The sequence below is a fragment of the Homo sapiens genome, chromosome 7 (genome assembly GCF_000001405.40).
Source record: "Homo sapiens chromosome 7, GRCh38.p14 Primary Assembly".
NCBI classification, from domain to species: domain Eukaryota; kingdom Metazoa; phylum Chordata; class Mammalia; order Primates; family Hominidae; genus Homo; species Homo sapiens.
Window position 1 is genome coordinate 70,547,276 of NC_000007.14, and position 27,337 is coordinate 70,574,612.

General features: G+C 42.6%; 1 protein-coding gene and 1 long non-coding RNA gene across 26 annotated transcripts in view; both read left to right on the forward strand.

Moving 5' to 3' along the window:
- The window catches only part of AUTS2 (activator of transcription and developmental regulator AUTS2), a 1,195,032-nt gene that overhangs the window by 948,801 nt on the left and 218,894 nt on the right, over positions 1-27,337 (forward strand). The window lies entirely within an intron of this gene.
- LOC124901669 (uncharacterized) lies at positions 254-26,645 on the forward strand. The gene is made up of 2 exons (XR_007060376.1): positions 254-24,599; positions 25,965-26,645. It is a non-coding gene; the product is annotated as an uncharacterized LOC124901669 (long non-coding RNA).

Here is a 27,337-nt window from a genome sequence, read left to right on the forward strand (position 1 = left end):
ACTGAGTCTTGCTCAGTCGCCCAGGCTGGAGTGCAGTGGCGCAATCTCGGCTCACTGCAACCTCCGCCTCCCGGGGTCAAGCGATTCTCCTGTTTCAGCCTTCCAAGTAGCTGGGATTACAGGCGCCCGCCACCACACCCAGCTAATTTTTGTGTTTGTAATAGAGACAGGGTTTCACCATGTTGGCCAGGATGGTCTCGATCTCTCCACCTCGTGATCTGCCTGCCTCAGCCTCCCAAAGTGCTGGGATTACAGGCGTGAGCCACCGTGCCCGGCCGTAATGTGTGGTCTTTTGCATGTGGCTTCTTTCACTCGTCCTAATGTTTTGAGGTTCATCTACATTGTAGCATTTATCCATAATTTGTTTCCGTTAATTGCTGAATAGTATTCCATTGTATGGATATACCACGTTTTGTTTATCTGTTCATCAGCTTATGGACATTTGGATTATTTCTACTTTTTTGGCTATTATTAATAATGCTACTGTGAACACTCACATACAGCTGAGTGGACATGTGTTTTCATTTCTCCTGGTAGATACCTAGGAATGAAACTGCTATGTCATGCAATAAGTTTCTGTTTAACTTTCTTAAGATACTGCCACACTGTTTTCCAAATGGCAGCTTCATTTTACATTTCCCCAGTAATTTAGGTGCTTCTGATCTCCACATCCTCACCAACATTTGCTGTTGTCTGACCTCCTGAACGTGAAGTGGTATCTCATTATGGTTGTAGTTTGTATTTCTCTAAGGATGTTTTGAAATGGGGAACTGTGCGTCTTCCAACTTTGTTCTTTTTCAAGATTGTTTTGGCTTTGTTTCCTTTGCATTTCCGTATACATTTTCATATCACCTTGTCGATTTCTACCCGCACCCCATCCCTCCCCGAAAGTCTGCTGAATAAGGGTGTTGAGCATCTTTTCATTTGTAATTAGCCATATTCTTGGATGAAATACTATTAAAATCTTCTTCCCACTTTTTAAGTGGGTTGTTTATCTTCTAATAGACTTGTAAGAATTCTGTATATATTCTGTATATAAGTCCATTATCCTGGGTATATGATTTGCAAATATTTTCTCCCAGTCAGTGGCTTGACTTTTCATATCCGTAATGCTGACTTTTGAAGCACAAAAGGTTTTAATTTTGTTGAAGTCCAGTTTATCAGTTTTTTTTTTATGGATCATACTTTTGTTGTTATATCTAAGAACTCTTTGCCTAACCTAAGGTCACAGAGACTTTCTTCTAAGAAGTTTTATAATTTTAACTCTTACATTCATCTATGTGGCTGAGGTACTTTTTTGTGTATGGTATGAAATAAGGGTCTAGTTCTGTGTTCCTGCATGTGGATATCCAGTTACCCCATCACTGTTTATCGAAAAGACTATTCTTTCCCCTTGAAATGCATTGCCACTTTTGTCAAAAATCATAGACAATAAATACACAGGCTTATTTCTGGACTTTCATTTCTATTCCTTTGATCTATATGTCTATCCTTATGTCAGTACCAGGCTGTCTTGATTACTATAGCTTTGTAGGATGTTTTGAAATAGGGAACTGTGCGTCTCCCAATTTTGTTCTTTTTCAAGATTGTTTTGGCTTTGTGTCCTTTGCATTTCCATATACATTTTAGGATCATCTTGTCAATTTCTACCCCCCCCCCAAAAAAAAAAAAGTCTGCTGAGATTTTCATAGGGATTACATTTAACCCACAGGTCAATTTGGGCAGAATTGCCTTTTTAACAATATTGAGTCTTCTCACCCTTGAAGACAGAATATCTCTTCGTTTATTTAGATCTTTAATTTCTCTCAACAATGTATTATAGTTTTTGGTGTGCAAGTGTTGCACTTCTTTTGTGTTATTGTGAATAAAATTTTTAAAATTTCTTTTTCCAATTGTTTATTGCTAGTATATAAAAACATTGATTTTCATATTGGTCTTCTATCGTATGACAGCCCAATTTTTTTATTAGTTTTAATAGCTGTTTTGTAAATTCCTTTATCAGATTTTTCCGTGTACAGGATCATGGCATCTTGGAATAGAGACAGTTTTGCTTCTTTCTTGTCCATATGGGATGACTTTTCTTTTTCTTGCCTGATACAGAATTTTAGGAATTAAAACTCATCCAAAGTCATGCCAAAGATCAGTGATTATACTTATGATATCAATGAGGAGACAAAAGAGGCAACTTTTGGAATTTTAAATGAGCCTTACAGAGGCAAAGGGAAGAATGGGTGACTGCATTAGCAAGGAAGTAAAAATACCACTCTACAGCCAGACATGGTGGCTCTCACCTGTAATCCCAAAGCTTTGGGGCACCAAAGCAGGAGAATCACTTGAAACCAGGAGTTCAAGGTTACAGTGAGCTATGATCATGCCATTGCATTTCAGCCTGGGCAACAGAGTAAGATCCTATCTCTTAAAAAATTTTTTAAAAAGCCACTTCGCATTGACTCAGGTTTCACAGTGCTCCTCTTAGTGGGTGGTTATTTCAGCAACCTGACCAGAACAGACAAGATAAGCCCTGAAACAACACGAAGGAGCCCTGAGTAGGAAAAGGTAGACACCACACACTCTCCAGGCTCATTTATGTAACCCACTGGAAGATCTCTGGTCTATACAGAACCTCATCTTCATGTCTACCTATTGTTTTAAAAAGCATTGGCACTTGGTTTTCTAGCTTGTTGATGGTTTTGTTTTGTTTTTGCAGCTATACTTTAGGAAAGGTGTTAGAGAAGAGACGAAGTAGGACTTGAACATAAAGGATGCCAAAAAGTGAAAGGACAGTAGCTGATAGTGAGGGGGCATATTGGAAATGCATTTAAATATCCCATGTATATTTCCTGGACACCTACAGGGACAAATCTTATGCTCAAGAATTTAAAAGCACCACTGGTAGGTCAGTGGAAGGCAACTCCCCAGACTTGATAAGGTCTGAGGACATTGGCTGAGCAAGCCAAGACTCCAGTGACGCCATCCATTTCTTTTGTGGCTGATGAATCAGATTCAAGTACAATGCTTTATAATTATCCCTATGAAATTCTAGCATGTTAGTGTCGACCCATTATTCTAGTCCTTCGGCACCTCTTTGGATTCTGATTCTGGTTTTATGAGTTGAAGATTAATAACTAAGCTTTGAAGGATGGGGGGATTGCCAAAAAAAATAAGCTGAACAGTGCTTTTTTTGTGATAATCCTGTGTCCTCAAAGAAGTTAAGCCCCATTTGCTGCAGAAAGAACTCATTAGCTCCTGTAGCTTCTAAGGAGGATCCTCATCAAAGAATCTTTTTTAAAATAAGTATGTAATAATAAAATAAAACCCACCATCTAGCCAGGCTTCTTGCTATTGGAGTGGGAATTTACAGATAAACTAGGGAGGAGGCTACACTGATGCATGTGGTAATGGGTTAGAGTTAAAAATATCAGTATGAGCTCATGTTTAGCTTAACATAGATACAAATAGTCACATATAGAAATCTTTACAGATCTGTGCATATAAAAGGGTTAGTACCCATATGTATTTCTGTGCCCTGACAACTGAGATGGCCTGAAAGAAACGGACACCCCAGTGTCAACAAGCACACCTTCATCTAGATCTTGGTTCCTATTACCATTCTCCAATAAAAAGAACTAGGACTCCTGAGTGAAATGGTTGCTTCTGGAACTCAGGCAGGAATATACAAGATGAACCTGGAGTATGTTATGGTGCCAGAAAGTAAGGAAGTCCTAAAACAAAAAACAAAACTCACACTGATAGGGGCACATCAAAGAAACACAGAGGCCAACTGAAAGAGCTAATGGCCACTCCTGGATAATTAGAGCAAAACAATAAGGAAGCATCGGATTATAACCCAAAGTATAAAATAAATATCCATGACTCCATACTGATAGAAATAAATAAATGGAGGAGAAGGAACAAACCTCCCACACAGAAGAATTCCAAGTAATTTACACAGATACCTCACCCTCAAGCAGGGGAAGCATAATGCCCCACTCCCTCAATGTGAGTTCCAGGTAGTGGCTCCTTCCCAAAGAGTAGTAGGGGAGGGGGAGGGGAGTCCATTGACAGTGGAGAGACCTTCAACCTGGTGACCAAGGACAATATCAGTAGTCACAAATCACATTAATAGAACAGACCATTGATACAATGTGAAAACAATGGCATTTCACCTCTGTAGTCTTCCTCCCAAAAACCTCTCAACCCAGTCTTAATCATGAGAAAAGCATCAGACAAGTTTCAGTAGGGGGGCATTCCTATAGAATAGCTCAATATTCCTAAAAAATGTCAAGGTCACCAAAAACAAGGAAATTTGAAGAAACTGCCAAAAGAACCCTAGGAAACATGACAACTAAATGTAATGGGCCACCCTAGATGGGATCCTGGGACAGAGCAAAGATACTAAGTACAAATTAAGGAAATCTAAATAAACTATGGACTGAAGTTAGTAGTGCTATGTTAGTATTGGTTCATTACTTCTAACACACATGACATACTAATGTAAGATTTAGTAATAGGGGACACTGGATATGAAGTATATGGGAATGCTCTTTGCTATCTTCTCAATTTCTCTGGAAGTCTAAAATTGTTCTTAAAAAGAAAGCCTATTTAAAGGGAAAACCACCATCACTACCAATTTTGATAAACTTGAAGGGTTAGCATCAATTATCTGGAAAATTTATTTGTGAGAAAACCTTATTCCTTTATGATCATTGATAAGTGAAGCATTGCTGAATTATCTCTGCCTCTCTGAGCAAGTTAATACTATATTTTTAAGAGAAGAGGAGAAGAGAGGGGAGGGAGTAGGGAAAAGAGTATGTGTATCTTTGTGTGTGTATGTGCGTGTGCATGTGCGTGTGTGTTTAAACAAGAGAAAAAGTGAATTCTAAATTGTTAAAACCTTGGAGTGGAACTTAATCTAATTTATACGCAGTTCCACTAGAGATGTGCAAGGATTTTTTTGTTGTTGTTAAAGAGAAAAACTAGTTTCAAGCATTATTAAGCTTTTTTCCCTCCCAGAAGCTAAGAAAACCATCTGTGAGAACCTGTTTGCATGTTTGTTTTCTACAATAAAATGCAAAATACTTCTTCCTGTTAGCGGATTATACCATATGTCTCTCCCTGTAACAAAATCAGCATGTTTATTAATGAACCCAATCAGAGGCAAAGATTTAGAAAGATTTAAGGAACTGAATTTTCCATTCAATATTTCAGCAAAAGAAACTTCTGGTTAGACATCGTTGTTGTGCTTGGAAAATAGAAGGTTTGTTTTTGCTTTGAACTCAATTTACTTGGCAGGGGACAGAGAGCAGGAAGAGAGGCCTTTGAAAATTTTCGTAAAAAAGGTCTGCATTTAGAAATGGCCCTTCCTGCCTAATGATTCCCCTACGGATTTAGACCTACAGTTTATATGTGACTAATATTTAATTTGATCAGTTACATTTTTCCAGACAGACTAATTAAAGTGCTTGATGGCCCAGATCCCCCAAATCTGAAGCAGTAACAGGCCTGTGGGCTTCCTGGAGTAACAGGAAGTGAATGAAGTAGTTTCAGCCATATTGTCAAAGCAACCCCCATGGTACTCATAATGGAAACATGTGAATTTTCCAGCACAAACACTTTCCTCACAGCCCTGTTGACCATCTGAATAATCAAATAGATTGGTAGCACTAGGTATAGCATAGTGTATTAGAAAGAAATATGTCCAGCCAGACCCAGCACTGCAGTTAAAGTACTGGTGCTGTCACGAGCCAGCAGAAGGCCTGGAGCAAATGACGTACTCTCTCTAGACCCCAGCTTACTCCTCTGACAAATGAGGATATCAGCTCTGCTGTTCTCTTGTTTCTGACTTGTAGAAGAATGGACTTGTCAGCAGAGACCGTAAGCAGTGGAAATCCCAAAAGCCAGACAGACCCTGTGCGTATTTTAGGGGATACATTCTGTTCTGGTCATTCAGCCTTCACCCAAGCCATCTTTTTTTCTATTTGGTGGCATAGACACAGCCCAGCCAACCTAATTCTCATTTTATTGCATTCATTGTTCATGTGCCACAGTTTTTTAGAAATCTTACAAGAAAATGAAGCACCTATTACCAGGACACCACTGCAAGGGGGAAAATGACACTTGGGCACCTGGAAGGACAAAGACAGGCAGTGGAGGCATCATGGGGTTGGATTCGAGTAACCCTCTGCCTTCTTCCTGGGGTCTGTTGGCAGTGTTTTTGTGCTGTGGTCATGATACACACAGGTCTCACAAGGCAGGCAGCCAAGTGTTGACTCTGTCTTTGTAGGCAATACAGAAAACTGTCTACTTGTTCCAGTGAGCTAAATCAAGTGAGAACAGGAAAGAGGTTTGTGCAACTTTGGCAACTATAGCAGGAACCACTTTAAATGGGACAGGGCAAGTAATGCTAAATATTTGCAAGGTGATTTTTTTTTTTTTAAGACTTTAAAGGTTGTATTGGGAGACCTTGAGAAAGAGGCCTTTCTTTCTTTTTTTTTTTTTTTTTTTTTTTTGAGACGGAGTCTTGCTCTGTCGCCCAGGCTGGAGTGCAGTGGTGCGATTTCGGCTCACTGCAACCTCCGCCTCCCGGGTTGAAGCAATTCTCCTGCCTCAACCCTCCCAAGTAGCTGGGATTACAGGCACGCGCCACCACACCCAACTCATTTTTTTTTGTATTTTTAGTAGAGACGGTGTTTCACCACATTGGTCAGGCTGGTCTCAAACTCCTGACCTCATGATCCACCCACCTCGGCCTCCCAAAGTGCTGAGATTACAGGCATGAGCCACTGCACCTGGCCTTTTTTTTTTTTTTTTGAGACGGAGTTTCGCTCTTGTCGCCCAGGCTGGAGTGCAATGGCGCGATCTCCACTCAATGCAACCTCCGCCTCCTGGGTTCAAGTGATTCTCCTGCCTCAGCCTCCCAAGTAGCTGGGATTACAGGCGTGTACCACCACGCCTGGCTAATTTTTGTATTTTTAGTACAGATGGGGTTTCACCATGTTGGCCAGGCTGGTCTCGAACTCCTGACCTCAGGTGATCTGCCCACCTCAGCCTCCCAAAGTGCTGGGATTACAAGCGTGAGCCACTGTGCCCGGCCTCTTTTTTTTCTTTTCTTTTCTTTCTTTTTTTTTTTTTTTTTTTTGAAACGAGGTCATGCATGCAGGCTGGTCACAAACCAAAAAGGCCTTTTGACAATTCAACTACCTCAACTCTGGGATGGGCATTTATTAATAACCCCCAACCCACCCAAGTCCTCCAAATACCCTGCCATCCAGGGGAAAACACATAAACATCAATAAACTGCATGTCCCCAAGGGATGCTCTTTGCCCCAGGATAGTCTGGCCTCTCGGGAGATTTCTCTTACCTCCAGGGCTTTGTTTCACCAGAGAAGCCAGCCTGGAGGTAGAAGGGGAAGATACTTAGCAGCAAAATCTGCTGCCCTGTGCAGCCAGGCCAGGGGGGCAGTCAGGGGCTATACAGGCTGAAAAGCTGTCCAGGACCCAGAGCTATGTGACTCATAAAGGCAGGCTGCCCACCCACTGAAGGTCTCCAAGTGGCAGTCCAGATGGACAGTGATCAGCTGTCACATTGGACGGTTGGCCTCCTGTGATGACAACACTGTGCCAAGGAGGCCTGGGTTGAAGCTTTGAGCACATGTTAATTGGCTTAGCTCTATTCCACCACTGTAGAATTTTTTAGTTCAATTCAGCAAATATTCCCTGGGTTCCTGTTCTTTGCCAGGTAATAGAGCTGGACACTGTGAATGCAGAGATGGATAAAATATGTCCTTTAGCTGATGGAGAGAAAAACATGAGCAAATAAATGTCATTTACTATGAAAGATACTAGAGTATCTGGAAAGAACAGTGGAGACAGAGAAGGGATGGATGGCTGAAAGTGTGTGGTTAAAACAGTGCCCACCCATCTTGCCCAGACACAAACCACTCAAAACCAAGACCCTGTTGGAGGAAGCATTCCTGTGAGTTTATTAGAGCAGGATTTCCTGAATTCTTCCTAGGAATGTTAAAAGATAAAATTTGAAAAAAGGATTCCAAGAGCAAATAAGTTTGGGAAATAGTGAGTTAAAGTTAGACAGGTTGCTTTCATTGGTAGCTCATGCTTAAGTGCAGAACTTCTCAAAGCCTTGAGTATGCTGAGCACATTGTGTGATTACCCCAGGGGAGGAGATGGTATTGAGAATTTTGACTTGGGAGCCTTTTTCCAGAGTTACCTCCTTGGACCTGGGACCCTCATATTCTTGGACCCTGGCACAGTGTCCTGTCTGGAGCTGAGAGTTTGCAGAGTGGCCTTCTAGTCCCAGCACTCCCACTGTGACTGAAACTGTTTGGCTTTGGGAAGTCTAACCTTCTCTGATGTTGTTTCCTCATTGTGTTAGGCAATTTTTGCATCTCTATAAAGAAATACTTGAGGCTGGGTAATTTATAAAGAAAAGAGGTTTCATTGGCTCCTGGTTCTGCAAGCCATAAAAGCATGGCACTGGTATCTGCTTGGCTTCTGGGGAGGCCTCAGGAAGCTTTTTTTTTTTTTTGAGACAGAGTCTCGTCGCTCTGTCGCCCAGCTGGAGTGCAGTAGTGCGATCTCGGCTCACTGCAACCTCTGCCTCCCGGGTTCATGCCATTCTCCTGCCTCAGCCTCCTGAGTAGCTGGGACTACAGGTGCCCACCACCATGCCCGGCTAATTTTTTTGTATTTTTTAATAGAGACAGGGTTTCACCTTGTTAGCCAGGATGGTCTTGATCTCCTGACCTTGTAATCCGCCTGCCTTGGCCTCCCAAAGTGCTGGGATTACAGGCATGAGCCACCACGCCTGGCCAAGAAGCTTCTAATCATGGCAGAAGGCAAAGCGGGGGTAGGCACATCAGATGGTGATAGCAGGAGCAAGGGAGAGAGAGAGGGGCGATGCCACACACCTTCAAACAACCAGAGCTCATGTGACCTCACTCACTGTTATGAGGACAGCACCAAACCATGAGAGGTCTGCCCTCATGACACAGATACCTCCCATCAGGTCCCACCTCCAGCATTGGCAATTACATTTTTAACCTGAGATTTAGGCAGGGACAAATACCCAAACTATATCACTCATCTAGAAAAGAAGGGAAGAGTGACATCTGCCTATCTTGCAGTATTGTTGTGAAATAATAGATGTGAAAGCACTTCATACTCATAAGGACTGGGATTGTCATTGCTGGGTTGTGACAATCGCAGCTGTGATCAAGTCTTCGAGGCTTTAGTTACTTGACTGCCTTGAGGTTGTGGCCTCTTGTTATGCCTGGAATTCTCCCTTCCTTCACTTCTTTACCCACCCCTTGAGATACTTCTTATAACCATCCCCTAAGTTCAATGTTGGTAGCCCTGAGACTTCTGTCCTTGGATCCCTTCTCTTGAGACCATTTATCTCAGAGCTCCATGTGTCAACATTACCTGTCTTCTGATAACCACCCAGTTTTCTGTCTCTAGCCTTTGCTTCTCCCTTAAGTTCTGGATCCAAATGTCCAACTTCTCCCCAGATACCTTGATGTAATTATCTCAAGCTGCATACTAGTGCCTCAAACTGCTTGCCCTTCCCCACACACTGTGTTCCTTCATAACTGGGTGTCATCTTAAAAGTACTTCTGGTAAACTCCTGCTCATCCTTCAGAACCCAACTTTAGTCTAGTCTCCTCTTGGCTGACTTCCTCCTGTGCGCTCCCAGAGAACTTTGTACCTACACCTAACATGCCACTTCTCACACTGCCACTGTGGCCATTGGTGTAGTTTTCATTAAGTCAAGGACTGTGCTTTATTTGCCTTTAAATTCTCATCCTTGAGCAGAGTGCAGGGCGGGCAGTAAGTCTAATTGGATGCATATACCTCATTCTAGTCATGCCCATGCAGCAGAGGGGAGTTTCATCTTTAATGCCACATCTGGCTTTACACTAGAGGCCTGAACCTGCCGGATGCACAATTTTGTTCTTTTCCCTGCTGGCTAGGATTTGCAGGCACCCAGAAGCTGAAGACCCTCGGGGTCTCCAGAGGAGGTCACATGTGCCTCTGGCCACAGCCACCCCTGGACTTTCAGCTGGCCAGTGCTCCCAGCTCCCAGCCCTTGGCTGGCAGAGGTGAGCAGGAGTCCCACCCACTCCTCCCCAGCTTAGCCGAGTCATGTTGATATTCTGGCGGCATAGTCAGGCTTGTTATTGAGCACATGCTTTGCAGATTAGCCTGTTTGTATAGCCAATCGAACATGTGCTCCATTAAAAATTAAAGCATCCTGTTTTAAGGATGGAGCAGGAGACATCAGCTGCCACTGTGTAGCAGACATGCAAAGCCCCAGAGCCCATTACCATAGGTTACAGCAAATGTTAATCAGTGCCAGTGCAGTTAAATAATGCAGTTTGTGCAGATGGCAGCTACTACATCTCCTCACAGATGTGTCCTCAAGTCCCGGAGGCTGCTGTATCACAGGAGTTGTCGGGAGCAGTCAGATCTGATGCTGACTGTCAATATCACCTTTTGTGTTTGTGTGCATCCTCCAGCCAGCTGAGAGGCAACGATAGGATGACTCCAGGCCCTACTTCCAGCAGCCCTTCCAGAGCTGGAGCAGGGGGTCTGTGCAGGGCTCACAGGAGAGCAGAAATATTTCACTAAATCGCCAAGAACACTCAGAGTAAAGCTCTGCAGTCTGCTCCATGAAACTGTACCCAGCTGCATCCTGCAAGAGGCTTCCCAGCCAGGTGGAGTGGGGATGGCGTTCCCACCTTCACTCTTCACTGCTTTCTGCTTGCTGATGGGCAAGAATTCCACAAGTATTCTTCCTGGCTTCCATAAGCACAGGGACACCTCACTGTATCAGAAGTTGGAGTTCTGACAGCACCTACTGTGCACAGGGCCTGATTCTGAATGGCAAAGTGCTGTTCCCGAAGCCCAGGCACTTGGCTCTCTGGTCCAGGTGTCCCTACCCTCCAGCCCCTGAACAGATACTCTGCGTAAAATTTAGGAACAAATCGCCACTCATGCTGCCAGCAGTAAGCAGCAACTGTTGTGGCAAGAAAAGACCAAACTGTTTCAACTGTCCCAGCTCTTCTCTCTCTCTGTGTACTTCCTTACTAGCAGCTGTGGGGGACCCTTCCATGAAGGGGCACCTAGAGCACTGACATCCACATGTGGGCACCTGGGGGCATTCCATCTCAGCCACTGTCAGGAGCAGGCACAGTGACTGGTCCCCATGAAGGTGGCCTGTTATCAAGAGAAGATGAAATAAAGCTCGAGGTAACCAAGTGTGGGAAACTTGTATGGAAGCAGGGGAGATTGCTCTTGATATAGTTAAGTGTTTTACTTAAAGGTGTAAGCCTCAGCTTTCTGAAAAATATGCTACTGTAGAACAACTCATTTCTGAATAGCATCAAATATGTGAGGTGAAAATGTACTTATGAGAAAAATAGTTAAAAGTTTATTCATCCTATTTCCTTTCTAGGTTGTCAGACTATGTGCTATTCTTCATTCCTAGATGGGAAACATTGCATCTTATGAATGTAACGTGTTGCTGTAGACAAATATTCTTGTGGAGTGAAGCCCAGGGACAAGGGTCTTTTGCTTTCCTTGCAAAATGTAGAGACATTATTCCTGTTTCACCTTTGAAGGCCATGCCATCTGATAGGCCATGCCATCTGATATGGTTTGGCTCTCACCTTGAATCGCACCTTGAATTGTAATAATCCCCATACGTTGTGGGAGGGACCTGGTGGGAGGTAATTGAATCACAGGGGTGGGTCTTTCCTGTGCTGTTCTCGTGATAGTGAATAAGTCTCACGAGATCTGATGGTTTTATAGAAGGGAGTCTCCCTGCACATGCTCCCTCTTTGCCTGCCGCCATGTAAGATGTGCCTTTGCTCTTCCCTCATCTTCTACCATGATTGTGAGGCCTCCCCAGCCATGTGGAACTGTGAGTCCGTTAAATCTCTTTTTCTTTATAAATTACCCAATCTTGAGTGTATCTTTATTAGCAGCGTGAGAACAGACTAACACACCATCTGATCTGATGGCTTCTACCCTTCCTTTCTTTCTTTTTTTTTTTTTCTGAGGCGGAGTCTTGCTCTGTCACCCAGGCTGGAGTGCAGTGGTGTGACCTCAGCTCACTGCAACTTCTGCCTCCCGGGTTCAAGCAATTCTCCTGTCTCAGCCTCCCAAGTAGCTGGGACTACAGGCACACACCACCACACCCAGCTAATTTTTGTATTTTTAGTAGATATGGGGTTTCACCATATGGTCAGCCTGGTGTCAAACTCCTGACCTCAAGTGATCCACCTGCCTTGGCCTTTCAAAGTGCTGGGATTACAGGTGTGAGCCACCACTCCCAGCCAGCTTCTACTCTTTCTTTACTTCCCAGTCTCAACATCATTTGTGGAAGATTTTAGCACCGACTCACTCCTTTCCTTCCATTAAACTCAGCAATGACATGAGCAGCTCATCTGAGCCCCAGGCCTCTGGATTCCTAACCTCCTTACCTCCAGTGGTCTTTCCTTTATCCACCTCTGCCCCCCATTCCCATTGTTATGCCCTACGTCTTGTCACTACCTATAATGATGTCAGTTTCAAAATTGTGATTTCCAAACCATTAGCTGCAAAGAGTTCAAGGAACTGAGAGGCCAGGATGCTCAAAACCCACCACTGGCTTCACACCACACTTAGAACAAAGGTCTTTCCCCTGCTGTGAGCCTGCCTACTGCTCTGACTTCGTCTCCCACTACTCTGCTCCAGTCACGCTGGCCTTTGGTCTGGCCTTCCAACAAGCTGAGCTAATTTGCACCACAGAGATTGGTTCCATTGCCTGAATGCTCTATCCCGTTATATAGATGGTCGCTTGGCTTGTTCTCTCACTTCATTCAAATGTCATCTCCTTGGAGAGACTTCCCTGACTACCCTATTAAAACAACAACAGTACATCCCCCACCCCAAATCACTCTATCTACTTATCCAGCTTTGCTCTTCTTCACAGCACTGAGCCAACATTTAGACAGACACACCCACACATCCATATACATCTATATTCACTTACTTACTGCCTGTCTGCTCCATTGAAGTGTTGGTGCCACAAGGACAGGGGTTTTGTCTGTCATATTCGCTGCTATATCTGATGTGCCTCCAATGGTCTTCCATTGGAAAATCAATTGAATGAATGAAGGAATATGTTTGGGCTGGAAGCAAATGTTGGAAATGGAGTTTTAAAACAACAGGGTTATTTTTTAAGCTTTCTAATAAACTTTCTATCAAAAGCATTTTTCAATTATTAACACTTCATAAATGAACAAATTTCATCTTCTCAAAGTTACACTTAGGTGCCAACTAGAGAAAGCAGAAGAATTCATTTTCTTAATATTTTGTGAAATCCAGGATAGATTATTATTTCAAGCTATAAGGCTTCCAGCATTAGCCTTGAAACCTCATCTTTATTTTGCTTCACTGCTAGGTGTCTCCTTTTTTGTTTTTCCTAGAACTTTTGTTTGACTTCTAATTTTGTCCTCTGATTGAGGACTGAAACAACGTGTAATAATCTCACACCAGGCAAATATAGTTGAAATTTTTAGTGGATTTGATTACATTCTTGAAAGTGGCAAAATCAAGTAAAAGCAGATAGATCAGAAGATTGAAAGCTTTGGCTTACAATCATTCTTTTTACTTTTTAGGATGTAAATCATCGTATTGGTCCTTTTTACTTTAGACAAATATGACCCCATAAAGTTTTAAAAGTTTGTGTCTGTGAAAAAAAGCAAGATGAATTGTCTCTCACTTCCCTGGTTTGGAAGAGAAGTTCCAAAGCAGGGCTGAACTGTCATCATCATCTAATAATTTTCCTTTAGTTTTCATTTTTCCTTTCTAAATCTTAGCATGTGAGATCACAGGCTCCCTCTCCAAACTCATCAGTTGTCTCTTGTTTTACCAGTAAGAACTGAACCCCTCATCTCAACCAGTCTGTCACCAAGGCACTTGCTCCAAAGACTCTGTACCAGTCGAGATGCTTTTAGCTGCAAGTAATAGAATGCCTCATCCAAAGTAGCCATAGGGTAGCCATAGGGCCAAGCACAGGGACTCACACTTGTAATCCCAGCACTTTGGGAGGCTGTGGTGGGATTGCTTGAGGCCAAGAGCTTGAGGCCAGTCTGGGCAGCATAGCAAGATCCTGTCTCTACAAAAATTTTTTTTAATTAGCCTGGCATAGTGGCACGCACCTGTAGTCCCAGCTACTCAGGAAGCTGAGGTGGAAGGATTGCTTGAGCCCAGGAGTTTGAGGCTGCAGTGAACTATAATCCACTGCATTCCAGCCTGAGCAACAGTGATGAGATAGTCAGAGGTAACCAGATGTGTATTAGGCTGACTCCTAGGAAGCTTTACGTTAGGTTGATAAGATGGCTACAAGCATGGTATCTCCACACCATATACCCAAGGAGGGAAGGAAAAGGGCAGACCTACTCCTTAATTGTGTCTTTCTTTTTAGCAGGAAGGAAAATCCTTTCCGGGGGTCCTGCAGCAGATTGCCCCTTACAGATAATAGCCAGAACTAGGTCACGTGTTGATAAGGTTTAGATACTTGTTCCCTTCAAATCTTTTGTTGACATTGCATCTCCAGTGTTCGAGGTGGGCGCTGGGAGGTGTTTGGGTCACGGGGTGGATCCCTCATGAACGGCTTGGTGTCCTCCCTGTGGTAATGAATGAGTTCTCACTCTACTAGTTCACACAAAAGCTGCTTGTTTAAAAAAGCCTGGCACTTCTTCCCCTCTCACCACGTGCCCTGTTGACTACCCTTGCCTTCTGCCTCGAGTAAAACTCCCTGAAGCCCTCACCAGAAGCAGATGCTGGCACCATAATTCTTGTACAAGCTGCAGAGCCATGAGCCAAATAAACCTCTTCTCTATAAATTATCCACCCTCAGGTATTCCTTTATAGCAGCACAAAATGGACAAATACACATGGGTGCCACAAACCAGTCACTAGCAAATATAGATTAGACCACTTGGTTATCTCCTGGCCTGGACACATGTCACTTTCCTACCTGAACAAAGTTGATGTTTTCTAATAACAGAGAATGAAGGATGACAAGCTGCCAGGGTCGACAACTAACAATGTCTGCTACAGCAGTACAACCCGTTACTCCTACTGAAAAAACTCACTCCAGGTGGAATAGTAGCTTATGTCAGGGTCTGTATTGATAGGCCAGTAGATTATAAAGTATTTGGAAGTGATCTTAGAATCTCTGCTCATTTATGTCACCACTGTTTCATTTACATACCTCTAGGATAGCACTTACCACGTGGCATCATGATTCCATGTCCACAGGTCTGACTGTTCCTACCAGATTGTCACCAGGAACCCCTTATTTCTTTGTGTCCAGAGTACCCAGGATAATACTTGGAACTTAATAGAGGTAGAGGCTCAGTCGGTGTTTGCTGAACAAATGAATGAATAAACTAACAACAAATAATGAATAACATATTCCTGAAGCCATGCGTTATGAAGAACAGTTGGAATAACTATAGGTGTTTACCTGGGGAATGAATGAATGAATGGACAAATGAATAAGCAAATGACAACTAAGAGATTTTTGGAGCGGTGTCCAATGAACTGTTGAAATGACGAGAAATGTTGACATGGAGAAGAGATTTGAGGAATACAGTGACTTTTTGCAACGCAGGATTTAAAAGCCTTTTAAGTGAAAGAGAGATGAGACTTACTTTGTGGGATCTTTAAGGGTAGAGCTAGGAAAAGTGGGCTGAAACTACAAGGAGACAGAATTGTAAAACTAAAATCTAAAAGTGGAGCTATGTAAAGATGGAATAGACTGCCTCTGGAAAGAATGAGCTCACTGTCACCAAGCAGAGAGTGGCTAGGCATACTCTCAGGCAGTGGTAGGATTTTATCATTGAAGATTGGACTTAGATAAGAATGATACTTATTCCCTGGTATAACTGGGGGTCCTCCCTCGTAGTGAGGGTATTCTCTGAAAGTATGAAAAATTAAACTTTTACCACTTAATGTTAACATGAAGGAGGTATGTGGTAGCCCTTTCCAAAGTACCAAGAGACTTTATGATGCTATGAGACATCTTGGAGTAATCCCATCTGTCTTTATTATTCCCAATTACATGTGCCATTTCCCTGTTGAGCTCATTTCTGATAGAAGAAATGTTTTTTAAAAGAAAACGATGTTAATAGATGTCACTGGTTTTGTCTGTCTTAACGGATTCTGTTTCTCACTTCAGGACATTATCCAGTTTATACTTTATTAAAATTGGCCTCATGCACCCTTGAGGTGAGTGGGTAGAGAATGAGGAGAAGAGCCTCACTTCCCGGAGATGGCGGAGAGGGATTGGGCCCACCAGGTATTCTTTCAAATGGGCTGCCTTACTGCCCACCTGCAGGACTGAAAATCAGAGAAAAGCGGTGGAAATTGAGAAACTGTAGGACATCATTCACTCTCGTAATTACAGTGAGGAAGTGTGCTGCATATGTATGTTCCCTCAGTAAAACAGGTGTTCTGCCCTTAAAATGCTAATTATAGACTATTGCAGATCAATGATCTTCACTTATTTCATATTGCTGCTCCATTTTTTCCACATTTAACTACCCTGTGATATAGAAAGCTTGCTCACCCTTGAAAAAATCAAAATGCATATGGATTTTCTGAAATAAGCCCCTTTTCTGGAAGTATTTTGTGGTTAGTTTCAAAATGCAATATCCTGAGAAAGGTTTAAGTCGGCTTTTTATTTTAATATATAATAAAAAAGTAAAATCACTAGGCAATGAGCAATTTTACTTCCATTAGCCTAATGTCTTTGTGGTTTCATCTGAGGTCACTAGTAGATTATTTTTCTTGCATTATTTCATCAGCTGTCAGTTCTATTACAATCATGTAATTCATTCAGTGCTGTGATTTTTCAAAGACATAACTGTAAGCTTAGAAGACAGTTTTTTGGAAGTTTATTTAGATGATTGTAGGGTGTCAGACTGCCTCAATCTTCTCCATGCTCAGTGTCTGAAGGGTCACCAACAGATTGTACATGACCTTAGATGCTCGAGTAATTATCACCACTATGTTTTTATACCCAGCACATAAAAATATATCTGCACTTTCTTTATCATCATCTTTTGAAAGACTGTGGCCTGCCTATGGGCTGGGCAATTAGGTTTACTACTTAGATTACAGGATACATGATACAGCTCTTATTTAACACCAACAATAACTCTTTTTAAGGTGGTTTCATTTCAAGCTTAGTCTATTAATATATTCACCATTGGGCTTTGATTACAATAATGCAGTTTATTTATGTTTGCATATAGTGGGTATCAGTCAAGAAATCATTTGAAAATCATTCACTGAACACCAGCTACTCACAGCTTGTTAGTTTCTGGTGGTTATAAAGGAATTAGAAATTCTCTGCTCTTGAACATATTATTGTGATCCATCAAAGCCTCTAGCAAAGTAGTCATTTAGTTTGGTTTTTGTGAGGTTTTTTTAGTACGAGGATAATTTTTAAATATTAAAAAAATTAGGCCAGGCACGGTAGCTCACGCCTGTAATCCCAGCACTTTGGGAGGCCGAGGCGGATGGATCACAAGGTCAGGAGTTCAAGACCAGCCTGGTCAATATGGTGAAACCCTGTCTCTACTAAAAATACAAAAATTAGCCGGGGGTGGTGGTGCTCGCCTGTAGTCCCAGCTACTCAGGAGGCTGAGGCAGAAGAATCGCTTGAACCCGGGAGGGAGAGGTTGCAGTGAGCCGAGGTCGTGCCAGTGTACTCCAGCCTGGGCGATAGAGTGAGACTCTGTCTCAAAAAATAAATAAATAAATAAAAATTAGAACTCTACATAGTAATAGTTTACCTTTATTATCTTGTAATTTTAAAAGTACAAAATGCACATTTAAGATACATGTGCATAAAATGATATGTCTGGGATTTGTTTTAAAATTATCTGGAAAGGTGGGAGTAGTGGGAATGGGTAGATGAAATAAGACTGGCCATGAGTTGATAATTGTTGAAGCTGAGTGCTGGTAGGTAGCAGTTTATTATACAGTTCTCTCTACTTTTATGGAAATTGTTCATTTAAAAAAAGGAATAGAAGGTTACTATGCACAGGGAGCAGTGGCTCAGGCCTGTAATTTCATACTTTGGGAGGCCAAGGTGAGAGGATTGCTTGAGCCTAGGAATTCAAGACCAGCCTGGGCAACATAGGGAAACCCTGTCTCTACAAAAAAATACAAAAATTAGCCCAGTGTGGCAGTGCATGCCTGTACTCCCAGCTGCTCAGGAAGCTAAGGCAGCAGGATTGCCTGAGCACAGGAGGTTGAGGCTGCAGTGAGCCAGGGTTGTACCACTGTACTCCATCCTGGGTGATAGAGCGAGACACTGTCAATCCATCAAACAATCAATAACTATGAATTCAGCTTTGCTTTTAAAAAGAAAATATATTTTAATGATCATTGAAGCATTTCCATATACTTGAAAAATATTAATAATTGTATGAGAATAGCATATAATTTCCTGAGACTATAGACAGAGCTTTGTGCTCATGGACTCTGAACCCTTTGTTGTAACTATTAGAATACAATAGACAAGCAAGTTCAAGGTAGCTTGATACATACTGTACACAAACACTGAGCACATTCCAAGGGATGTGAACCTTAACTACAGAAGCGTGTATGGAGCTGCTTTAATTTACTGTGACTGTGTTGCATAGAAAAGGAAGACGACCGTGCTGCCACTTAAGTACTGATAACATTTAACACTGTGTGCATAAGATTGAGGCAGCTTGGAAGGTCCAGAATATGAAGCAAAGAATCCGATCCATTCAGAAACCAAGAAACCTCCAAATAATAGCACTTTCACTCTAATTCAGCCTCTGCCAAATTTGCCTTTGGCCAATTGTCACCAGTGCCAAATTACCAACAGACTTCCTTTTCTGGTCTTAGTCATGTTGACCTCTTCCTTCTGTCTCCTAGTCAAGCAGAATTTAAAACATTTACATTGTATTTCAATTTCTATGAAGATGGGAGAGGAAAGGTGTATTTCTTGTCTTTTGTCCCTGGCCAGCTTCTACTGGGAACTTATTTCCTTGAAATTCCTGTCCTGTAAAAGCATGCAGATGAAAGTATCTTTAATGTATAATTACATTTTTATATGTGTATAATCTTAGATTACATGGGAATTGAGTATCTGGAATGGATCGGCCTTAGGAAAATGTTTCTTTTTAAAAACTATTAAATATTGGAACATTATACAAAAAAATAGCATTGAAATATTTAATCTGTGGTTCAGGTCTGTTGTTCATTTAAAGGTTTAACTGTTTCCCACTGTTTAAATATCTCTATCTGATCTTTCATGCTAAGTTAGCATGTCCAAAATATTGAAAAACAGATGAATGATCAAGGAACTTAAGGAATACTCCTCCAGTGAAGCCAGAAGGATATTCTTGAGGAGAAAAAAAGAATGCATGAAACTTATTTAACAAGAAAGATTTGAGTCAGGTAATCTACATAATATATCCACTGGCATTAAGGCTGTCATCTTGGTATTGCATTTCTGGTACGAATTTCGCAATAGCTGTCTTTCACTGTCGGTTCTAATAAAGAGTGTTGGTCAGCTTAAATTCCCTGGGAGCTCAGAGTTATGTTTTGTGAACTGCATGTGCCTGAGGCCTCTCATGCATGATTTAAACTGCTTTGTAAATGTCAATAGGTGGAAAAGCATTGGATCCCTTGTAGATTTCTCCAAATCCTCAAAGATGTGTATGCCATGTATAAACCATGCTGCACTCTCAAGGCCATTGCCGTTTTTTATACTTGCCTAACTGGGGGTTTAAGGTATTGCTAGAAGCAAAATATCAGTGTGTTCATGTCTCGATCCAACTGGCCAATGAAACCCTTTATTAGGAAAACCTTTGCACCAGAGAAATGTCTCCAGTGACCTGAAATGGGCACACCTCATGAATGTTGAATGTTCTTCAAACTCTATTTCTTCATTCTTGACTTTTTTCAAAACATACATTTGACTTGATTGAATTTACTGATTTCAGAGTACTGCATCCATTCCATGGACAGCAGTATGGGGTCATCAAAAAAAATTTCCATTGAGAGTGCCCAGACCTGGGTCCTATCCTGGTTCTGCCACTCTCTGGCTCTTTGTCCTTGGGCAAGCCACTTAACCTTTTGGGGGCCCTGCTTTTCTGATCCATTAAATAAAGGAGGTTGAATTAAATGATCTCTAGTTATCCCTCACAGCTCCAGCATCAGTGATTCCAAGAGATAGTGACAGAAAACCAGTGTGTCACTTTTAAAGCCAGGGAACACATGTGACTTTTTAATTGGGCTCATTCCACTCTCTGGGCAGTACACAGTGCCGGCAGAAGCCCCAAAATGGCCAGCAGCAATGGCGTAGGGAGGCCTGAGTGTTAGCTTGAGGGTTCATCAACTCATTTTCGTTCAAAGCACTTCCTGGTGATTGTTTTCCATGGACCTGGGAACTGCACTAAGGGCGCTCCTCCCACAGTGTGCCCTGACCCCCCAGGTGTGTTCTTTAGGTAAAGCTGTTTTTTAATGTCTGAAGAGGCCAAAGCAAATGCCAGTGAGGGTATAGCTCTCTAGGATCTCCAGAATAGAGGCACCATATGAGCAACAACACTAGACTGGGTTTCTCAGAGTCTGTTTCTCACACACTTTAGTACCTCTCAGCTTAACATGGTACCTGGAGATAGAGGTGCTTAGGAAATGTATGCTTAGCAAATGTTGCAGAAAGAGTTTATTCGGAGTCATAGAGCCATCGGAGCAGATGGTCTTTTTTGTTTTCTTCTTCATGTTTTGACTCCTACATAGTTCAGAATAAGTCACTTTGGTCTTTTCTTTGCACATGTTCACTTTCTAATATAGTGTCTTCTTGGGGAGACTGTTTTATGGGGAATATGTGAGTTCATGTGTTAGCTGTGGAGCCAGCCTGCCTGAATTTGAATCCTGACTTTTCCTCTAACTGTGTGACCTTGAGCAGTTTCCTTAACCATTCTGTATCTCAGGTTTTAATCTGTAAAATAAGGATAACGGGAGTACCTAGCTCTTCAGATTGTGAGGATTGAATGGGATATACACATAAAGCTCTCAATGCCTGGTGTGTTAAAGTGTTCGCAGTTGTTACTTTTTTAAATGTTTTTACTACTTTTGAAATTTAGTGTTCAAGGTGAACTTTTTACAGAAGAGCCAGGGCAATTGGATGCACTTTGGGGGAAAAAAAAATCACTTGCCTCATCCCCATCTTCTCCATCGCAGTGAGGACTGTTCTCAAGTGGGCACACAGGACACCTGTCTCCTTCATCTGCAAGGCCCCAGTGGCTGTGCTGGGGTTTGAGGTCTCTCGTTCAGACCAGGTATGTGAGGGCTTGGTTATCATGCACTGCTCCTGAATCCACCATCTCCATGTCCACATCCTTGGCAGGGAGACCAGAGCCAACTGGGAACTCTGCCACCTGGAGAGACCTTTGAAACACTGTCGCCACCAGTGTTCCATTTGTGTGTTTGCAGAATGCCAAGTAAGCACATTCTTTTTCACCCTCTGACATGACCTCAGGGTTACTTTCTGTGGCTGTTGACAAATTTTTAGACATCCCAGTTTTATCAGCGGAAACCTTGAAGAGTGACAAATGGTTCTTGGAAGAGTTGGTACATACTATAAAAATGTCAGCTGGCTCATTTATAACCCAGTGATGTCCAGTGTCTGAGCCGTGCTATCAGCATGGTCTATAGATAACTCACCCTCACGATGCTCCGCTCTCCCCAAGTACTTTGTGCAGCTGTTCTGGTTGAAGACCCAGTTGACATCTATAATAGATATCAAATGGAGAGCCTCTTATTTTATCACTCTCTGTGTTTCAGCACTGGCGGTCCCCATGGACTGTCAGAAACAGGCAGCCAGCACGTTATGGGAAAGGTGACTTGCTGAGTCCCTGTGCCCTGAGGACATTATTAAGTGCTAGGGAACCTTGTTAGCTCATAAAGTTGGTTCAAACCAATTATTGTTCTGCGACCATTACCATTGCCAAGAATGTAACTCTTTTAAATTCTTGCCCATAAAGCCGATCTTTCCATTACATTATATCATAGAGCAAGACTTCTGATCTGGCCGCACTTGTATCCCACCGGCTGCAAAGACTAAACATTGCATTTGCTGCTCAATATTGGTTACCCTTCAGTGCTTCATGGAGGCAGCAAGACTGCTATTTATAGATTTACTTTCTGTCTCCCTAGTTCAGCACAGTCAGTTTTGACACACTGTCCCAGTAATCTGATCAGCCATGCTGCTTTTAAATGAAGGTCTAGGCCTTGGCCTCTGCAGAGAGGGTGACAGCTGTCAGATACAGATAGTAGGCTACAGATCCTGGCTGCTAAAACCCTCTCATTCATTCCTGTTACAGATCATTGACCACAGCTTGAAGCCATGCTTTACAGTTGGCCGATTAGTTGGCAAGAGATCTACATACTGTATTAGCAAGGTCAACCACTGAGATAAAGGCAAAAACGTAAACCCCTGCACTATTTTTAAACCAGTAGCCATTTGTTAAAGCTGGTTATTTTGGTACTTGTCTCCGTTCCCCTCTTTTTTTTTTCTCCCAAAACAAAACTCAAGAAACTTGTTAAAACTCTTCGGCAGCTAACGAAGATGCCTCAGATAATGAGATGGTTCAAACCTGAGAAGGAAAGATGAGGTCTTTCTCAGAAACTCATTTAGGAACCTCGGATAGGAAGCCGTGTTAGCTGTGCTTATACCTTGTTTTAATCAGAACGTGTCTGGAAATCTTAGTCCAGGGAGACCTGGATGAAAGTGCAGCCAGTTTGAGTGCTCTGGCCATGACAGTAGGTTAGGCAGGTCTGGCCTAGAAAGAGGTAAGTTATGATTCATACAAGTTTAAATCCTCGCTCACTCCTGAATGAGGTGGTTGGGCTTGGTTGTCAGCTCAGATGATTGGACCCATTTTGTAGGTGTTTCCTTCTCCAGAGTCCTTCCTTCCCCCAGCATCTTGTCTGTAGGTATTCTAAAGCCAGGCATTATTCAACACACTATATTGGACTTGTGTAAAGAGAACTTGCACCCTGGGAAACCTTGTGTTAAAGTGATTAATTGACTTCTTCATATTCAGTGAAGATCCTTGCTGTTTCAGAATCGACACAAACGACCAAACCTTCAATCTCATCTTTACTCAGAAAGGGGTCCACCTATAAGATTTTGAACTCTCCTTCACCATCTGACCAGCCTCCTCTCTGCTTTCACCTCTCCTATGCCTTCACTCCCACTGAACGTTCCTTTAACTTCATGACAGCCACCTTCCCCTTTACCCTTCTCTGTGTCCTGCTAAGACTATGTGGACCCAGCTGGGGTTCCCATTCTTTTTCCAGGTTATACTCTCTATGGTCTCTATTTTGTGTCCTCCTCCCTCTCTTCTGTGACCTTACTGCATCTTCCTGTTGCATTCCCATCTCCCATCTGATCTCTTGTCTTTCACTCTCTACCTCTTGTTGACTTATGACCAAGCACAGTTTCCTTAGTGTACAGGGGCACCCAAGGCCCTTGACAATATGTCTGTCCACCATCTTGTAGTCTTGCCTCCTGCTTTGTTTCTTCTCCACCTCTCTAAGGCCCCATGCACACATTTGCTGAACACACCCTGCCCTGTCAAGCTTCTTTGGCTGCCTTTGCTATTCCTCCACCACGTAGGTCCTTTAGAATGGCAAGCCTTACAATGTATAGTATATTTAGTATACATACCCAGTAAATATTTGTAGGACGAGTGCATGAATAAAAGCACAATGTTTGACATTGTTATCAGCATTGACCCAAACCCTTTGAGCTAGATGAGCAATAAAGATTAGAAGAAAGAGGTTAGGTATAACCACAAACAAACTTGAGATTGAAGGCTCGCTAGAAGTAGAACTTTGGGTGGATTTCTCTCTGTGACTTGATTTTCTTGCCTATAAAGTGAGGTAAGTGATATCTGCTTTATAGGTTGTTGGGAGGATCAAAGAAGAAAAAAGGGAAGTAAAGTGCCTAACACAGTGTCTGGCAAATGGAAGGAACTTGATAGATGTTAATTACCTAGCTGTGCCATATAACTCCCACCCCATCTTCAGTGTTCTGTGAAATGTATTTTCATTTTACCCTTGGAAAGGTACAGGACAGGATGGAAGACCAGTTTGATGGGAGAGAAGGCTGGGAGTTACATAAACCCCCATGGTTTTCTGACTTTTCACTAGAGTCAATAAGGAGATGTTTAAACAGACTTTGGCCCACAAAAGGTGACTCACTCTCACATTCTCAGCTTCCTGCTCAGGGAATCAGTGTGGAAACTGGGCTTCCACTTCTCAGCTTCAAACTGGAGCTGGGAAACTTTCGCCTCTGTGGAGGAGCCTTGGGGAAATCTCAGCCCAGCTGCCATGAGGTGTGCAAGGGGAGGACGTGTCAGCCCTGGAAACTCCACAGGCCTCTGTTCCAGATGCACAGGGCAGTCACGTCTTTGCAGGGGTGAAGCAGGAGGACACCCTCCCTCCTGTTCTGTTCTAGCAGCCATCATGAGGTGGGACTTGGAGGGAATCTGATCCTGTTAGGGGAACGATCCAGTCCGGTGCAGAGCAGCTTTGGGGTATTAATGACTGTGTGTTCCACAGGGGGAACTTGTCCATTTCATTTATTTGCAATAAAATATATGAGAGGAACATCTGCAGGCAGCTTATATATTTGTCAAATTTAGAAGTAATTCAGGCATATGATGGGGAGCCATGGCGATTTTATGAATTTTCTATTGTTATGCATTCGAGTTCCCATGGCATCGTTTGGCCTAGCTATGGCAGCCCAGAGAACAGAGGCGGTGCTAGCAGACCCACGTGACACATGCCGCGGGCTTGGGCGGATGCCTGGCATGTGAAGTGATCCAGGGTGCTGGCAGATGCAGACGAGGTGGGAGGGAGGTGGAGGAGGGGCATACTCATGTTTTAGGAGGGGAAATACAGGGTCACCTTTGTGGACGGCAAATAGCCAGGTCCTGAAACTTGCTTCTAATGAATTCCTTACATGCTGTTGAAATGGCAGGAATCATAATAGCTTATTTCATGTGCCTTTGAAGGGTTCCAGCAAATGGAGTCTAAGAGAAGGCAGGGATGGGGGGTGGGGGTGGGGAGGCAGGAAAAGGGGGGGCGAGAGTGAAATATTACTACTTAAAACATATTCTTAGACATAATAAAGCATTAAAGTTAAAATATTGTTGAGACAGCTTTCATTATGCATGTTCCAGGCCTCATTATGGAATAAGCAGAAGTGACTGTGCAGCCGAGACCTAACAATATCTGCACTGAATTCCTATTATGTAAGAAAGGCTTTCTAGTCCCTGCCAGTGTCGGGATGTGGTGGTTGGTTTTCAATAAAGGTCAGAATCGGTGCCACACTGAATAGAGCTAAAAGTGTGTTTCATTCTTTTGTAGGCCACGGGCACTGTTGGGGATTGATCTGAAAATCTGGTCTGTTGCGGGCCTTTGCTCTCAAGGGAGATTAATATTTTAGCTATTCCTTTTTGTTCAGTGCTTCTAAATGTATTTGGAATGAAAAGAAAGGTTAAAGAGGGGCTCTGGGACGGCTAGCTTCAGAGACTAGATCATTTCATGAAGGGAAATCAATTAAAAAAGGTTGACTGTGAACATTTATCCATTTAGCTTAGCCGCTATTGAATTTTCATGATGGACTTCGACTCTTCGGAGAGAACGGAGTTAATGGCAATTGTTCCTTTCTCCTCAAAATTTATTATCTGGTTTATTCATGGAAAACACTCCATCAAACTAGATAGAGGCCTTAGGCCTATTGATAGATTTGCCTGTGTGGGGTTGGAATGGGGAGGTTTGTCACAGATGTCCAGCCTTTGAAGGAAAATTAAACAAGTATCTCATTACAGAATGCTTCACTGGTCCCCGGAGGTGGCCACAGACGCAGTGGATTTAATGAGCTGGGAACGTCAATGCTGCCAAAGTTTACCTCGACCTGTCTTTCTGAAGAACTCCTCTATTTAGGCCCACTCAAGCAAAGGAGAAAGGCACCACGCTGTTTTCTCCCTTTCAACTCCAAAGAAGGGGATAATGCACTTTTTGTGCCATGCATCCAGAGGAATTATGTGTGCTAATTTGATTAGGGGAGATTTGATTAACTGGAAAATGAGGGCTTTGCTAAGACTTTCACACGCTTAATTTATCCCTTGCAAAGCAGACGCAACATTGTGTCATGAAACTCAGAAGGCATATGGGAACAGTATTCAGTGGTTAGACGGCCTTTCAGACCCAACAATATCAAGGATTGCCACGGTTCATATTGGGATAATCATTTTAGAGCATTCGCTTTGCTGCAGAATACAAATTGGGTTTGGCATTGCCAGTTAAACGGTTCAAAGGATAATGAGATTAATATAGTAGGAAACTTAGCTGAGCAAAAAGCTTTTTTTTTTTTTTAACACCATTGCATAACTAGTTTTAAGGGGAACTTAGTTGAAAAATGCTTGGTTTTCTCCAAAGAATGCATTAATTATGTTTTGTGGTTCCATACACTCCTGGTCTTTCTTGCTAAATAAACATATCGTGCATCATCCAGATCTTGCTGAAATTTGGGGGATATGCATTGAAGCAGCCCCTGTTTCTCCATGAAGGTGTATGTCTGTGAGCCTGGCTGTGCAGTTGGGAGGCCTGGGGGAGAGGTCATGCTTCTACCATGGCGTTTTCCATTTTCCTTAAAATGTGCCTCAGCAACAGGCTGCCAAGATCTAATCCTGTTCCCCTACCCCCATAGCAGTTGGGGAATTACCAACAAAGTCTTTACCATCTGACATTCCCCAAGGGCTGTGTAAGGGGGCATCTTACCCCTGCTTTCTTGGGAGTATATATTTTTAAAAAGTTGAAAGGAGACCAGCAATGCCAATCTCTACTAACATCTGAAAAAAGGTCTTTTTTAAAAAAAGCATTTCACATTCAGAAGACACCTGGAAGGTCCCTGCAGAGAGAGCTCTGGGCTCCATGTGCCAACGATCTTTGAATAGAATCCCTTGGAGTTTCTACCCGTATGTCTTTTTTCTAAAGATCCCCTTGCCCTTGATGATTGCAAACTTCCACATAGCTTCAGAAGCCATCTTCATTGTGCCAAGTTTATTTACAAGCAGATTTGGCCCTCTCTGTACTTTGGCCTACATAGTACAAGCAACGTTTGAACTCCTGTTTTGCTCTTAGCACCAGAAGTTTGGGCTTTTCCATTAAAATCAGTCAATCAGGAAAGAGTGCATGCATG